The sequence below is a fragment of the Homo sapiens genome, chromosome 2 (genome assembly GCF_000001405.40).
Source record: "Homo sapiens chromosome 2, GRCh38.p14 Primary Assembly".
Taxonomy (NCBI): domain Eukaryota; kingdom Metazoa; phylum Chordata; class Mammalia; order Primates; family Hominidae; genus Homo; species Homo sapiens.
The window spans coordinates 74,591,025-74,608,954 of NC_000002.12; the positions used below are offsets into that span (position 1 = coordinate 74,591,025).

General features: G+C 38.3%; 1 protein-coding gene across 13 annotated transcripts in view; it reads right to left on the bottom strand.

The window, feature by feature from the left end:
* Positions 1-17,930, bottom strand: part of M1AP (meiosis 1 associated protein) — a 90,448-nt gene that overhangs the window by 33,142 nt on the left and 39,376 nt on the right. For all 13 annotated transcript variants that reach the window (XM_047443432.1, XM_047443431.1, XM_047443430.1 and 10 more), the window contains exon 4: positions 16,031-16,199. In XM_047443432.1, coding sequence (XP_047299388.1) covers positions 16,031-16,199 — 169 coding nt within the window. The remainder of the gene's footprint in view (positions 1-16,030; positions 16,200-17,930) is intronic.

Consider the following 17,930-nt stretch of genomic DNA (forward strand, 5'->3'; position numbering starts at 1 on the left):
AGTGATACCTAGGCTAAGGGTTTACTTGAAAATGAAATAATGACACTTGACTCCTGAAAGCAATTTGTGGACTTTAAAGCACCATGCAACTATAAGGGATGATAGAGTATAAAGCCGCCTCCCAGCTGTCTATGTAGTAGATATGAACATTTTATTCACTAAAAGCCAGTGCCATTTCTTTTGCTGAAAATTTTCTCTTCAATAAAGATCTAAGTTGTAAGAAAATATATTTTATCTATGGGTCTCAATGGCTTCATTTTCATTTTATTGGAAAAATGCAGCTTATATGCAAAAGAGATTGATCACTATTGATTGAAATATTCCAAAGTCTGAAGTATTTTTTGACGTGAGAAACATTAGACTTAGAAGGTATTTTAAAAGTCTTCTTTTTCTACAGGGACTAATACATATATTCTATAAACCAAAAAGCATTTAATGTAAATTGCAATGCAAAATTGAAAAGCTGGGAAGAAATATTGTCATAGGCACTGTGGTGGGGGAGGGAGCAGGGGAATGGGTTATTTAGGAGAAGTTTGAATTAAGAAGAAAGCAGAGTTAGGAAGGCGTTAAATCTTTTGACATGACCCAAGAACCACACCAAGCAGTTTTGACTCCTTACACCTAAGGGAACTGAAAGAAAGAGCTGCCTTGAGGTGAAAATAAATGTAAGTGGAGCCATGAAAGAAAAGACTTACTTGGGGGAGCTAAGTAGAGTAAGGAAAAGCTAAAGAAGACGCTCAAATCAAAGAAAGTCCTAAGACATACTCTTTTATTTTTTTGAGACAGAGTCTCACTCTGTCCTCTAGGATGGAGTGCAGTGGTGTGATCTCAACTCACTGCAACCTACATCTCCCAGGTTCAAGTGATTGTCCTGCCTCAGCCTTCTGAGTAGCTGGGATTACAGGCGCCCACCACCACGCCTGGCTAACTTTTTATTTTATTTTATTTTATTTTTTTTCAGTAGAGAAGGGGTTTCACTATGTTGGCCAGGCTGGTCTCGAACTACTGACCTAAGTGATCCACCCACCTCGGCCTCCCAAAGTGCTGGGATTACAGGCATAAGTCACTGAGCCCAGACCTAAGACATATTCTTAAAAAAATCCTAGATAGACTGTATAATAGCTTTGCAACCGACTCTGTGTATATACATGCATTTTTGTAGATCTGGGGGTGTATCTTCAGGGTATTAGATTCCTAGAAGTGGGGCTGGTGACTTCTAGGGATAGAAGTAAAACACATAGGTAATTTTGTGTTTAAAAATAAACACATGCCACTTCTATTGGTGTCATACTTTTTAACTTTTGCCAATCTAATAATAGGTAGGAAATAATATTTTGGTATAGTCTTAATTATCATTTCTCTAATTATGGGTGAGGTTGAACATATTTTCACATGTTTAAGGACCATTTAAAAATCTTTTTTTGAATTATGTGTTTATGACTTTTTTCCATTTTTCTCTAGTGTTTTTGGTCTTTTTCTTACTCCTCAGTTTTAAAGTGTTCTTTATATATTAGAGATATTAGTCTTTTTTTTCTCCCATGGCATAAATTGCAAATACTTTCTCCTGGTTTTTCAGTTGTCTTTTGACATTGTTTATGGTACTTTTTGCCATGCCAAAGATTTTTATTTTCATATAGTTAAATAAATAAATCTTTCTTTATTGTACCTGGATTTTGAGTCATAGTTAGATGACCTTTATCTATGCTGAGATTGTAAAGAAATTCACCAATGTTTTCTTTTAATACTTTTAATATTATTATTTACATTTGGATCCCTGGTCCATTTGGAATCTTTTCCAGATGGCTAAACCAGTTGTCCCAGCATTACTTTTTGAGCAAGTTCATCTTTGCCTTAGTGATTTGAGATGTCTCCTTTATCCTATGCTAAATTAATATCTATATTCGTGCCTATTTCTGGACCTTGAATATGTATATAGCTGTGTCCCAATCAATTCTTGCACTGTACTAACTAATGCTCTAGTGCTGGGTATATGATGGGGCTGATTTCAGATAGAAAGTGGCCAGATTGTCCCCAGATTGGGTAGTGGCAACACAAGTCATTTGCCAAGTAAAGCAGTGCTGTCAAACGTGTTAGGGGATGGGGAATGAGGAGAGAAAAGGTGAGATTTAATCAGAAGAACTTCTTTTAAGCAAAAATCTCCTAAAGAGAGAGAGTGAGAGATATGATGGAGAACGTGAGCTTATTGAGCTGAAGAGAAGGCAGAAAAGGAGGTAAAAAGAAAGAACCAAATTGAAAAAGAGTAAATAAGGGAATTCCAGTCTGGTTAGGTTCCAGTACCCAACAAACTGATTTTCTTGTAAAAAACAGCTATAAACTCTGAACAATATTTTATTCATTTATTTATTTATTTTTTGAGACAGAGTCTCATTCTGTCACTCAGGCTGGAGTACAGTGGTGCAATCTTGGCTCAGTGCAACTTCTACCTTCCAGACTCAAGTGATTTTCATGCCTCAGCCTCCTGAGTAGCTGGGACTACAGGTGTGCACCACTGCATCTGGCTAAGCTTTGTATTTTTAGTAGAGACAAGGTTTCACCATGTTTGCCAGGCTGGTCTTGAACTCCTGGCCTCAAGTGATCTGCCTGCCTCAGCCTTCCAAAGAGCTGGGATTACAGGTGTGAGCCACCATGCCTGGCCTGAACAATATTTAAAAATCAACTACCTGAAGGCTCTGCAGAATGAACAAAAGTAGACAGACTTTGGAGAGGAGTTGAAACTTGGAGTAACCAAGTAAACCAGCAAGGAATGAGTTCCCCAGTTTTTGCACTTTCTAAGAGTGGCTGCAGTCACAATAGTGTGAAGGCAGCTAAAAATTGGAAAGAAAAGCCTTTGTCTTTCACTAGCATTGCCAGGGTAAGGAGTCTGGGGCAACCAGGACCTCCAGAGAGTGAGGAAGAAATCCATGAAAGGAGAGAGCCAGAGCCGGAGCGCCCTAAATTATGTGTTTAAACTCAGTCTAGGTAAATAGCTGATTGGACCTTGCACTATACACATATGGGGTGAACTGAAAGCAGCTTATAGTTTAGGCTTAAAGATTGAGACTAAGATCTGAGTCCCTGCTCACTGCAGGCACAACAGGTTGCAGTTTGAGTTTAACAAAGTTAATTTTCTGAAAAATCAACACTTTTCAGAGCAATATAATAGAATCCAGAGTCTTTATAACACAATGTTCACAAAATACAACCCAAATGTTTTGGCACACTGAGACAGAAAACTATGACTCAGTCTCAAAGGAAAATATAAGTCAACAGATGCAAACCCCAAGATGACAGAGATGTTGGATTTATCAGGCAAGGATTTTGAAGTGGCATAATTAGAATTTGCTCAATGAGGAATAGAAAATATGTTCATAAAAAATGAAAAGATAGGACAATACCAACCAACCAAGCAAAAAGTCACAGAGTCTTGGGCTGTGCAGAACAATTTAAAAAGATTTAACATTTGGGTAATTGAAGTCCTAGAAAGATAGAGAGAAAGAATGAGGCCGAAAAAATATTTAAAAAAAATGGCAGAAAATTTCCCAAGTTGGGTTAAGATGTAAATTTACAGGCTGGGCATGGTGACTCATGCCTGTAATCCTGGCATTTTCAGAGGCCAAGATGGGAGGACTGCCTGAGCCCAGGAGTTTGAGACCAGCCTGGGCAACATGGTGAAACTTCATCTCTACAAAAAAAATTACAAAAATTAGCTGGGTGTGGTAGCACGAGCCTGTGGTCCCAGCTACTTGGGAGACGAAAGTGGGAGGATCATCTGAGCCCAGGAGGTAGAGAGGCTGCGGTGAATTGTGATCACGCTACAGCACTCCAGCCTGAGTGACACAGTGAGACCCTATCTCAAAATAAAAAAGATAATCAATTTTCAGATTCACGAGGTTCAGGGAATCCCAAATAGGATGAATTAGAAGAAATTCACACCTAAACACATCATTGTCAAGATGCTGAATAATAAACATAAGATAAATTTCTTGAAATTGCTAGAAAAAATGATCCTTTACATACAGGGAAAAATGAGTTAGAGACTGTAACTTTTGATCAGAAACCATGAAAGGCCAGAAGACAGTGGAACAACATCAAGCAATCCTCCCACCTTAGCCTTCCAAGTAGCTGGGACTACAGGTGTGCACCACCACACCTGGCTAATTTTTTGATTTTTTTGTAGATGAAGTCTCACTATGCTGCCCAGGCTGGTCTCAAACTCCTGAGCTCAAGCAATCCTCCCCACTTGGCCTCCCACAGTGCTGGGATTACAGGTATAAGCCACCATGGCTGGCCCTCTTAAGTTTTTTAAAATACATGTTTGCTTAAAGGCAAAAACAATTTTTTTTTTGAGACAGGGTCTCACTCTGTCACCCAGGCTGGAGTGCAGTGGCATGATCATGGCTCACTGCAGCCTTGACCTTCCAGGCTCAAGTGATCCTCCTGTCTCAGCCTCCCGAGTAGCGGGGATTATAGGTGCACACTACCATGCCAGGCTAATTTTTGTATTTTTTGTAGAGATGGGGTTTCATCATGTTGCCCAGGCTGCTCTTGAACTCCTGAGCTCAAGTGATCTGCCTGTCTTGGCCTCTCAAGGTGCTGGGATTGTAGGCTAAAAGCAAAGATTTCAACACTTTTCTTGTGGAGTTTATGTAGATGTAATACACATGACAATTATAACATGAAAGATAGTGTATGTGAATGGGAGCAGTAAATGGACTTAATAGCAAGTTTTCTATATTTTACATGAAATGGTACTATATATATTAATTCTGAGTAGGCTGTAAAAGAGTTTTTAAAATACATTTTAATTCCCACAAGGTCTTTGCATTTTATGTGAATATTGTAATCCTGAAGTTTCTACATTTTATATTAAATGGTATTATATTGACTCTAAGTAGACTGTAAAAAGTTAGGTATATATACTGTAATCCATAGAGAAACCAGAAAAAATGCAAAGATGAATGGCTAAATGACAATAGATAAATTAACATGAAATTGAAAAATATTTAAATAATCCAAAAGAAAGCAGGAAAGCAAGGAAGAAAGATGAAAAACAGGACAAACAGAAAATAAAATGGTAGACCTGAGTCCAACTATATGAATATGTATGGTAAATGTTAATGGACTCTACATTCTAAATAAAAGCCAGAGATGATCAGAATAGACATAAAGCAAGACCCAGCTATATGCTGTCTATAAGAGAGAGACTTTAAGTATAAAGACATAAATGAGTTGAAAGTAAATGGATGGGAAAGGATGAACCATAAAAACAGTAAGATGGCGGGGCGCGGTGGCTCACGCCTGTTATCCCAGCACTTTGGGAGGCTGAGGTGGGTGGATCATGAGGTCAGGAGATAGAGACCATCCTGGCTAACATGGTGAAACCCTGTCTCTACTAAAAATACAAAAAATTTGCCGGGCGTGGTGGCGGGCACCTGTAGTCCCAGCTACTCAGGAGGCTGAGGTAGGAGAATGGTGTGAACCTGGGAGGTGGAGCTTGCAGTGAGCCGAGATCACGCCACTGCACTCAAGCCTGGGCAAAAGAGCGAGACTCCATCTCAAAAGAACAACAACAACAACAACAACAACAACAACAAACAGTAAGACCCAAGATAAATGAAAACATATATCCACACAAAGATTTGTGTACAGACATTCATAGCAGCTTTCTTCACAATAGTCAAAAACTGGAAACAATAGAAATATCCATTAATACATAAATGTTTAAACAAAATATGACACATTCATGCAATATACCACTACTCAGCAATAAAAAGAAAACGCACTACTGATATAAACAACATAGCTGAATCTCAAAATCTGAATTAAAAAATATAAACACAAAAGGTGTGTGTACTTTAGGATTCCACCTACACAAAATACAGACTAACCTACAGACAAAAAGCAGTTAAGTGGTCTTACCTGGGGCTGGAGGGATGGATGGAGTGTAAAGGGGAAAGAAAAATCTTTTTTGAGGATGAGGGAAATGTTCTGTATATTGATCGTGATGATGATTTGTGGGCATATACATCGGTCAAAATTCACTGAATTGTATACTTCGAATGGATGCAACTTATGGTATGTAAATTATTCCCCAATAAAGGAAGGAAAGGAAAAATTTTTTAAATTTCAATTTTTAAATACTTTTAGATTTTCTACTGAACTCAAAAAATTATTTAACTCAAGTTTAAAGAGAAAAATCTGCCATTTTTCTGAGACCATGGCTTCTGTTAATGAAATAAACAAATGTCTCTCTGTGTTAAAAATCTTTAGGTAATAAATACAACAGTGGTTCTAATTTAGTCTTAATGTCAGAGGGAAATGACTTTAATGCAGTTATCAAAGGCAGACACAATGAACAGCTGTGTTTTCTGGTCTATTTTCTAAGACACTGAAAGGGAGAAAATCAGTATCTGTTCTGACAATTGCACTGAAGCATAGAAGAGGCTACCCACCCCACCCCCAGCCCTTTTTTCTGGCATTCTTTAGGAAGCAATGAATCTTTATCTTCTATGTTTGGGTTGTTAACATTTGGTGTTTCCTGAGAACACATATGGAGAAAATACCTTCCCAAAAGAGCTTGACATTGATCCCTGGCAAAGTCTAGGAGGAAATATTAAACAGATGGTTTGCGAGCACTTAGAAAGGGAACCTGATATCCTTGTGTATGACTGAGAGATGTAGACTAGTTGCCAGCATCATTAGGTTGATTTGTAATTGGCTGAATGACTTACATACCCAGTGAGTGCAGACTGCTGTCAACCTGCACAGATGCCCTGTGGATGCCAAAGTTATTGATCTCAGTGGCTATTTTAGTTTTGACATATTTATTACTTAGTCATTCTTCACAAAACTATTGTAAAACTTTTATTGTATGCCAATAAATACATGCAATAAAAATGTAAGCTATGAAGCATAACAACAAAAGTGAACACTCACAAATCCTTTATTTAACTTCAGATGTAGAACATCATCAATACTCCTGAGATATCTGCATGCTTTTCCCTAATCTTCTCCAGAAATCTTGCCACGTTGACTTTTATTTTTATAATTTCTTTCTTTTTAAAAGTAGTTTTGTAGCTGGATGCGCTGGCTCACACCTGTAATCCCAGCACTTTGGGAGGCCAAGGTGGACAGATCACTTGAGGTCAGGAGTTCAAGACCAGCCTGGCCAACATGGTGAAACCCTGTCTCTACTCAAAATACAAAAATTAGCTGGGTGTGGTGGTGTGCACCTGTAATCCCAGCTACTCAGGAGGCTGAGGCAGGAGCATGGCTCGAGCCTGGGAGGCGGAGGTTGTGGTGAGCCGAGACTGCGCCACCGCACTCCAGCCTGGGTGACAGATCGAGACTCCATGTCAATAAATAAATAAATAAATAAATAAATAAATAAAAGTAGTTTTGTTACTTTAAATAACACTTTATAATTTTAGTTTTGAGCTTTATAAATAAGTATCATATAGTATACACCTCTATCTGCTTTTTTCTCAATATTGAAAAGATGCATTCACATTGTTATTTACAGCTGTGGACCATTCATTTTCAAAAATGTATGATATTCCACCAAACATTCCTTGTAATATTTATTCTGTATATCAACTTTTTTTTTTTTTTTTTTTTTGAGACAGAGTCTTGCTCTGTCATCCAGGCTGGAGTGCAGTGGTGTGATCTTCATTTATTGTGGCCTTGACCGCCCGGGCTCAAGTCTCCTGTCTCAGCATCCTGAGTAGCTGGGACTGCAGGTGCATGCCACCATGCCTGGCTAATTTTGTTTATTTTTTGTAGAGATGAGGTCTCACTATGTTGTTCAGGCTGATCTTGAACTCCTGGGCTCAAGTGATCCTCCTGCCTTGGCCTCCCAAAGTGCTAGGATTATAGGCATGAGCCACCACACCCAGCCATTTTCATGTATACTTTGATGAACAGAAATTCTTCATTTTAATGTAGTTATACTTATCAATCTTTTATTATATGGGCTGGGCACGGTGGCTCATGCCTGTAATCCTAGCACTTTGGTAGGCCGAGGTGGGCGGATCACCTGAGGTCAGGAGTTCGAGATCAACCTGGCCAACATGGTGAAACCCTGTCTCTACTAAAAATACAAAAAATTAGCTGGGCATGGTGATGCACACCTATAATCCCAGCTAGTTGGGAGGCTGAGGCATGATAATTGCTTGAACCCAGGAGGTGGAGGTTGCAGTGAGCTGAGATCATGCGACTGCAGTCCAGTTTGAGTGACAGAGACTCTGTCAAAAATCTTTTATTTTATGATTAGCAAACTTTATGTCTTATTTAGGAAATGCTTCTTCCTCTTCCCCAACCCTTGTCATGAAAATTTTCTCCTATGCTTTTTTTTTTAAAGTTTTACATTTTACTTTTCACATTGAAGTCTTTAATCCATCTAAAAACATTATTATAAATGGTGTGAGGTAGGAATATTTTTTCCTATATGGAATATTGATAGTTTCAATATGACTTAATGGCTAAATCCACCCTTTTCACACTGCTCTGCCATGTCAGCCAAGCCACATATCAAGTTTTCATGTGGCTGTTTCTGGACTTCTCTAATCCATTCCAGTTTGGACAATTTGTCTATTCCTATGTAAATATGACACTATCTTAATTAGAATAGCTTTATAAACCATCTAAACATCTGGTAAGGCAAACCCCTGGCCCTAATATGTATCTTTACTTCTAAAATATAGAATACATATATTCTAGAATATATATTCTCTCTCTATATATAATACACACACACAGACACACACACACGAATCAGCTTGTCAAGTTCATCTAAAAACTCTGACAGGATTTTTTTTTTTTTTTAAAGAGGTGGAGTCTTGCTCTCACCCAGGCTGGAGTGCACTGATGCGATCATAGCTTACTATAACTTTAAACTACTGAGCTCAGGAGATACTTCCTCCTCAGCGTGCCTAAACTTTTTTGGTAGAGAGAGGGTTTTGTTATATTGCCCAGGCTGGTCTCAAACTTCTGAGCCTCTTAAAGTGCTAGGGTTACAGGTATGAGCCATCACACCTGGCCCTGAACTGTTGATCTCTATTGTTCTTTTCAACTGAAGCAGTATAGAGAAGAGTTAAGCATGGGGCCATTGGAGCACACTACTTGGATGTGAATCCTTTTCTATCTCAACTGAAAAACCCTGGGAAAGTTATTATAGACAAGAAAATATGCCTTAGTTTTTTCATCTAGATAAACAAGGATTAAATAAGATAATATGTAGAAACTATTTAGAACAGAAAGTATTTGAACAGTAAGTATTCAGTAAAATGTTGCCGTAATTATGACCTAAAAACAAATGTTAGAATATTAAGAGACTGGCTTTAGTTCACATATCTTTTCCTCAAGGCTCAGAATTTATTTAAAAACAAAGCTAGCAGCATTATTCCCATGATTTATGGCTCTTCTATGGGGTTAACATTGGTTGCTAGAATTGGCAGGTTCTCCTCTATCCTAAATTTATGATGAAGATCCAGCATTAGGGATCTGTTCTAGGGTTGTAGGGTTGGCTTATATGTAAAGAGGGCATTTAAGGACAAAGAAAGCATCTGGCTTTCCCTGTGAGAGGTATGTATCTTCTTATCTCTATTTCTTGAACAGACAGTTCCTAGTTCTCCTTCAAGAGGAAAAGAGGAAAGAGGAACAAAATAGAGAATGAACAGAAAAGAAAGGCTATGAGAACTATGGAAAAAGTTTTATAATATTATGTTACATGAAAACAAAAAATTATATACATGAATTATAACTATGTAACATAAACATGAGTGAACAACTGAGCAGCAATGTGCAAAAATAAAAGTGCAATGGGGTGGTGAAATGAGAAATTTTACATTAAAAATTATAGTCTTATATTCTTAATAAATACGAATTATTAGAGCTTGAAATTTTCTCAGTAAAAGGCATATATAAGAAGGACTTCTACTACTATTAATATCAGTAGATGACATTTATTTGTTTGTGCCAGGCACTGTTATAAGTGCTTTCTTTCCATGCAAGTTGTATTTAATCATCACAAAAACCCCATAAAGTAGCTATTATTTTACAAATGAGCTTTATAAAACAAGCTATTTTATAAAGCCCTATTTTATAAATGAGAAATTTGTGGAATAAAGAGTTAAATTAACTTGTTCAAGGTTACATAGTTCTAGACTAAAATGTAAAAACCCAAAAGGATAGTTAAATAAATGATGATTAATTCATACATTGGAATACTTCATAGCTATGAAAAGGGAGGTGTTAGATCTCTATGTGCCAATACGGAAAAAATCCTAGATAAATAGCTAAATGAAAAAAAAGCAGAGCAGTTGGTATGGTATAGTCTCATTTTTTGTCAAAGTAAATAATATCAATAATAATATTACATGTATATCAGTATACATGCATGTGTAAGGAGGGCAATTCAGTAGAATGTGTCTTACAATGTTGATGGTAGTTATCTCTGGAGGCTGGAATTTGGGGTCATTTTGAACTGTCTCTATTATGCCTCTATAATGTTTACATTTGTATAATGCATAATAAAAAATTTTAAAATAGCCAGGCAAAAGCTACTACAAACAGCACTGGACAGGATCTTTCAGCAAAATTTTAAAGAATAAAATGAAAAAGACCAGGAACATATTAAAGGAAGTCCCATTTATACAGTTAGAAGAAAATATATAATAGGCTATATGGTTAAAATTTATAGAAAACCTTAACTAATGTGAATGTAATTTAAAGCTAACCTTTTCATATTAGATCCTGTAAAAGAACTTTCTAAGATGTGAGTCTACTTTCTTAATTTCTAAATTCATTCTTTTACAGTGATCCTGGATCTTGCAGGGTCCTTAAGTCATTTTTGTGATAATTAGCTTTCACTGTGCAGAACTGTACTAAAGTAGGCAGCATTTAGACTGATTGAAGGACACATTCTCATTTTATAAATGAATCTGCAATATCAACATTTGCTTTTGATGTATTTCTCTCTGAAAAGTGGACTATAGATAATTTGTATTTAATTGATGATCATGGCTATTGGAGTAAAAGAATTATAACTAGATTTAAGAAGTGTTTGAATCAATTTATGATATTCATGAGTTATCGAGGGAAGTTATGGCTGTTTGGGACATATCCCTAACTATTTTAGCCGATGTCACAGAGGTTGACCCCAATCACTCACACAAATCATTTGTTTTTTTTTCAATCATTCATTTGTTTTGTCAAAAAACATTTATTGAGAATCTACTGTGTGCCAAGTGGAGTGATAATCGTTAGTGATAGAAAGATATATAAGACACAGTCTTAGTTCCAGGTAACTGACAGTTCACTTGAGACCTGGCCATTAAAAACAAATCTCAGAAATATAACAAACCATCCATATACAAAAATTTTCAAAAATATTAATAATAAGTATAGCTAACTTTTATAGAGAACTTACATGATCTCATTTAATTCCCACAACTACTGCATGGAGTAGGAATTAATAACTAAGGCTTAGTGAGGCTAAATACCTTGCCTAAAGTTGCATAGCTAGAAAGTTATAGAAACTGCAATTTAGACTTGGGCAACCTAATTTTGGAGCACACATCCTTCTGAGAATGAGAGAAGCTGCTGTTGCCAATGTCTTGATAACAACACCAAGATGAAGTAAAACACTAAGGGAATAAAACAATTAATTATGAGGAAAGCACAGGCAAACTAGGAAGATTTTGAGCAATGAGTCATATACACTTAACCCACAAAGAGGAATTACAAGCGATTTATGGAAGGATGCATTATTCAGAAGCAAATGGGAAGTTACTGGAAGAGTCATCAGCACTGACACAGGTAGAAAGCTGCTTTCCTGCATTTAAAAGCTGTTCTATACAATGCTAGCCACTAACTATTCTAAAGAAAGGCATCAGGCAGCCTTAGTGTACTCTAAGCTCTATGCAATTAGAGACATAACAAGTTCTTTCTGGTGACAGTCACAGAAGGCAGAAAAGAACATAGTCCATGCCTGATCTGTCACTGGCCAAAGAGAGAAAAAGAGCTTCTCTCTCACAGATTCATTTTGAGAACCCAATGAGAAGGGCTCTGACTGGTGGCCTAGGGAACTATGATTGCCTCAACCTGGGTCATGACCCATTCTGTGACCAGGAAGGTGGAGGTGTTACCAGAGAAAGGGGATATAGAGGATGCTAGGCAGACCAAGAGTAGCCTCCATGGGTATCAAAGTCATTGATTCACTCAACAAATATATACTGATAATGTAGGATATACACCAGGACACAGAAATGAGTAAGACAAGTTTCTAATGCCAAGGTGCTTACAGTTTAATGCAGAGGGAAAAGATATCAAGTAGTTTACAATTTAGGCGAGAAGACACAATTATTGCACAATAAAGCAATGGTGAACGATTCTACATGCTATATAATTAAGTGCTAAATTACGTGGTAGAGACCACAAGTGATGTCGTTGTTCTAAGAAGAAGTGATGTGGTTGTTCTAAGAAGAGGAAAATGAATACAGTAGTAATGAACCTGAATTAGGATTTAAGGAATGAGTAGGGTTTGGCTGGAAGAGAATAGAGGAAGGAATTCAGAGAGAAGAAGAGGGAATTTAGAGGAAAAGACTGCTATGAGTACAGGGATGGAGATAGAAAGGACAGTCAGTGAAGAGACAGGAGGACACACAGTGAGAGCTCACAAATCACATGGCTAAGGCTGGTTGCCTTCCCTCCCCTGCCAGAACAATGTTAGTGGCTGCATGATGGTGGAAGGATCCACATGTGTCAGAATCTGACAGGAACCACACCCTTAGTAACCAACCCTCCCTCCTACCTAATTAGAGGGAGGTGAGATGGGAGGGGGAGGAAGAGTGAAGTCATCTGCACGCGACCAGAAAGAAATCGATGGTATCAGAACAGTGGCCACTTCCATGTATGCATAACCATGAAAAAGGCCAGTACAGCCCAAAAGGACTGCAGGAGGGTGAACTGTAACTTGAATGTTGGATGAATTAAAACTGGTCCCAAAGCCCTTGAACTCCATAATTTGGAGATCTCCACTTGACTTCCTGACTAAAATATTTTCATACATTTCCACTGCCTTAGAATGAAATCCAAATGTTTTAGCATGGTATAGATGGCCATTTCCATCTAACCCTTGCCTACCTTTATGCCTCACTCCCACCTCTGCCTGACAGGCTCTGGTGTAGGGAAGCATGGGCATTTCTCAAAAGTTGGGCATATCTTGCTTCTCATGTCTCTGGGTCTCCTTTTTGAGTGGCCCTTTTCCTTTTCCTCTGCTTAGCTAATTCCTACTTGTCTTCCAAGCCAGTGGTCCCCAAACTTTTTGGCATGACGGGCTGGTTTCATGGAAGACAATTTTTCCACAGATGTGTGGTTGGAATGGTTTTGGGATGAAACTGTTCCACCTCTGCTCATCAGGGGTTAGATTCTCATATAAGGAGTGCACAATCTAGATCCCTCACATGCACAGTTCACAATAGGGTTTGCTCTCCTATAAGGATCTAATGCCACAGCTGATCTGACAGGAGGTGGAGCTCAGGCAGTAATGCTCACTTGCCACCACCCTTCCCTCCCCTCCTGCTGTGTGATCACCAGTTCCTAACAGGCCACAGATGGTACCAGTCCATGGCCCGGGGGTTGGAGATCCCTGCTCTAAGACACAGTTTGAGTATTTCTTCTTTTAGGAAGTGTAGGATTGTGGGTAACTTAGATTTACTTATTTGTGCTTATTTGCATTTTTAATTTGTTTGTAATAAACATGAATATTTTTCAGTACGTAAATATCAAGGAAAATGTCATTAAGGTACAGAGTGACTGGAACAAGGGGAAAGATCACTACGTAGGACCACTCCACACTTTCTCTCCAAAAAAATCCTAGGAGATAATTCAAGAATAAAAGTCTGGCCAGGCATGGTAGCTCACACCTGTAATCCCAGCACTTTGGGAGGCCGAGGCGGGTGGATCACCTAAGGTCAGTTCGAGACCAGCCTGGCTAACATGGTGAAAGAAAGTCAAAACTAGACTTTTTTTTTTCCCCATGGGGTTAGCAAAAATAAAAAAACAAACAAACAAGGATAATTCCTACTAGGAAAGTCTTATTTACTATTGGTGGAAGTATGAATTGGTATGATCTTTTTGGAGAGTTTTTTGGCAATAACTGTCAAAAATGCATATACTGTTTTACCTCCTAGTAACTTTATTTCTAGGAATTTATTCCACAGAAAACATCCTCACAAATGCACAGTTATACACATAAACAGGGAAGGCTACATAATTTGTGGGCTCAGAGCAAAATGAAAATGCAGAGCCCTTTGTTCAAAAAGCAGGAAAAAACTGCCATCAACAATACTAAAATATAAAACTTTTTCCTTTTCCTTTTTTCCATAGTCTCTTTCTTAAGATGTCATTGTATGTATGTGTGTGTGGATGTTGTTTTTTAATTGTGGTAAGAACACCATGCATGAGATCTAACCTTTTAACACATTTTTACATGTACAGTAGTACAGTATTGTTATTTCTAGGTATAATGTTGTATAGCAGATATCTAGAACTTACTCATCTTTTTCATCATGACATGGTTTTTAAAAGTTTGCTGCTGGGCGCGGAGGCTCACACCTGTAATCCCAGCACTTTGGGAGGCTGAGGCGGGCAGATCACAAGATCAGGAGACGGAGACCATCCTGGCTAACACGGTGAAACCCTGTCTCTACTAAAAATACAAAAAAATTAGCTGGGCTTGGTGGCGGGTGCCTGTAATCCCAGCTACTCAGGAGGCCGAGGCAGGAGAATGGCATGAACCTGGGAGGCGGAGCTTGCAGTGAGCCGAGATCGCGCCACCGCACTCCAGCCTGGGCAACAGAGCGAGACTCCATCTCAAAAAAAAAAAAAAAATTGCTATTAATGTCACACTTCCTCAGGCGGCACCAGATACTTGCCAAGCAAGTGCAGACCCTCAAAGATGCCTGGGCAACTCAACACAAAAGGAATGTGTGCTGGACCTTGACACAGGTGTCTAGGCTTCTGCCCAGCCGGGGGAACAGAGGCCAGCAGAGGTCACTGGATGGCTGGTAAGCTGGCAAATGAGTGAGGTCTCCACTATGGAGTGGTGGGAAGGAAGCAGGAGGCAGGGCATGTGTGAGCCAAGGCTCAAAACTCCTGGTGTATGCTCCACTGTTCCATCAAACTGCACAAATTCAAAGATAAAATTATTAAGAATTTTAAGACAGAAGCCACAGGGCATTAAATCTCAAGGATGGGGGCCTTTCTGTACTTAGGACCCTGTGTGACTCCCCTGGTCATTAGCCCATGAAGCCAGCCCTGCATATGAGTCTGTTCATACAGCACTGTTTATAATACTAAAATGTAATAAACCAAATTGTTTACATTAGTGATTAAACAAATTATGGTAAAACAACACAATACAAAGCCATTAAAAAACGAGTCTGATCTATAAACACTGACACAGCTGTCCAACACACATGAACAAAGGTTTCAGTAAATTAGTTGTGTATGTGTATATATGTATCTATAAAATATTGAGTGTTAATTAAAATATTAAGAGAGTGTGTGTGTGTGCATATATATATATATATAAAAGAATGTTAGAAGGGATAGCCCAATCCCTTCAAAGTGATTAGGGGAGAAAGGAATTTTTACTTTTCATACCCATAAAATTTTAGTTTTCATTATTAGGATATATTGTTTCTGAAATAAAATGATTATTAAAAAATTCAACTCCAACATCTAGAAACATCTGTCTGAACCTCAGTGAAATCTGCTGGCTTCTTTTATCATTTAAGAACACAAAAAGACCATGGAAAATAATCTTTCTGACTTGTAAAAGACTGCTCATTAAGATTCTTTTTTTAAAATTTTATTATTATTATATTTTAAGTTTTAGGGTACATGTGCACAACGTGCAGGTTTGTTACATATGTATACATGTGCCATGTTGGTGTGCTGCACCCATTAACTCATCATTTTCATTAAAATTCTTACAATTCTTTTTACCTTGTTAAAAAATTCTTACCATCATTGCTGGTATCCTCAACAGGAGACGCTGAGTCCACGTGCTCTAGGATTCCCTTTGTGACCTCAACGACCTGAAACCTCCTGACTCTGGCTAGGTCTGTATCTTTCAACCCTTCCTCCAACTGTTTGACCACCTCTTTTCCAGGCTGAGAAGTCAGAATAGTAATCTGAAAATAAATCCAAGAATCAATGTGTCTATTCTCCCTGATGTACAGAGTGAGGAACATAACAGTTCCTACCCGGAGGATAAATACAGCATAAGTCTGTGGTGGTGGCTATTATGTTTAGTGCAAAAAGGATTTGGCTGTAACTTAAAATCAAATTTTATCTGACAGATTCTTGTGGGACAGGTTATCACAGGACCTTTCCAATCAGGCTGAGCTGACCCTAGAAAGTGACTGGAGAAACCATATGTATGTTTTAGTCTTTTTTTTTGAGACGGAGTCTTGCTCTGTCGCCCAGGCTGGAGTGCAATGGTGCAATCTTGGCTCACTGCAACCTCCGCCTTCCGGGGTCAAGTGATTCTCCTGCCTCAGCCTCCTGGATAGCTGGGATTACAGGCACGTGCCACCACACCCGGGTAATTTTTTTTGTATTTTTAGTAGAACGGGGTTTCACCATGTTGGTCAGGCTGGTCTCGAACTCCTGACCTCGTGATCCGCCCGCCCCGGCCTCCCAGAGTGCTGGGATTACAGGCGTGAGCCACCATGACTGGCCACTGTATGTTATTATTAGGAGTTTCCTCTTGAACTTTTAAAGACTGGACGGTAATCATTAAACATATGCAATTCTCATTTGTACTTAGATGTTTTTGATCCATGAAGAGGGATGTAGATTAAAGCACTATTATTATTATTATTATTTTAAAAGACATTATTTTTTAGGGAAGTTTTAGGTTCACAGCAAAATCGAAAGGAAGGTACAGAGATAGCCCATATACCCCTTGTCCCACATATACATGGCCTCCCTCATTATCAGTATCTTCCACCAAAGTCATTGCAATTGATGAACCTATATTGACACATCATAATCACCCAAAGTCCACAGATTACATTAGGGTTGACTCTTGGTGTAGTACATTCTATGAGTCTAGACAAATGCATAATGACATGTACCCATCAGTATAATAAATATCATATTGAGCCTTTTCACCACCCTAAGAATCCTCTCTGCTCTATCTATTCATCCCTCCTTCTCCTCAACCCTTGGCAACCATTGATCTTTTTACTATATCACCATAGTTTTGCCTTTTCCAGAATGTCATATAGTTGGGGATATATATGCAGCCTTTTCAAATTGGCTTCTTTCACTTAGTAATATGCATTTAAGGTCCCTCCATATCTTTCTGTAGCTTGATAGCTCATTTCTTTTTAGTGCTGAATAATAATCCATTGTCTGGATGAATCATAGTTTATTTATCCATTCATCTGCTGAAGGACATCTTGGTTGCTTCCAAGTTTTGGCAATTACGAATAAAGCTGCCATAAATACCCAAGTGCGGATTTTTGTGTGGATAGGTTTTCAACTCCTTTGGGTAAATACCAAGAAGCATGATTTCTGGATTATATGGTAAATGTATGTTTAGTTTTGTAAGAAACCATCAAACTATCTTTCAAAGTGGCTGTGCCATTCTACATTCCCATCAGCAATGAAGGAGAGTTCCTGTTGCTCCACATCCTCACCAGCATTTGGTGTTGTCAGTGTTCTGGAATTTAGCCATTTTAATAGGTATGTGGTGGTATTTCATTGTTGTTTTAATTTGCATTTCCCTGATGACATATGATGTGGAGCATCTTTTCATGTTTGTTTACCATTTGTGTACTTTCTTTGGTGAGGTATCTGATAAGGTCTTTGGTCCATTTTTTAAAGTTTTATTTTGTTTTTAATTGACACATAAT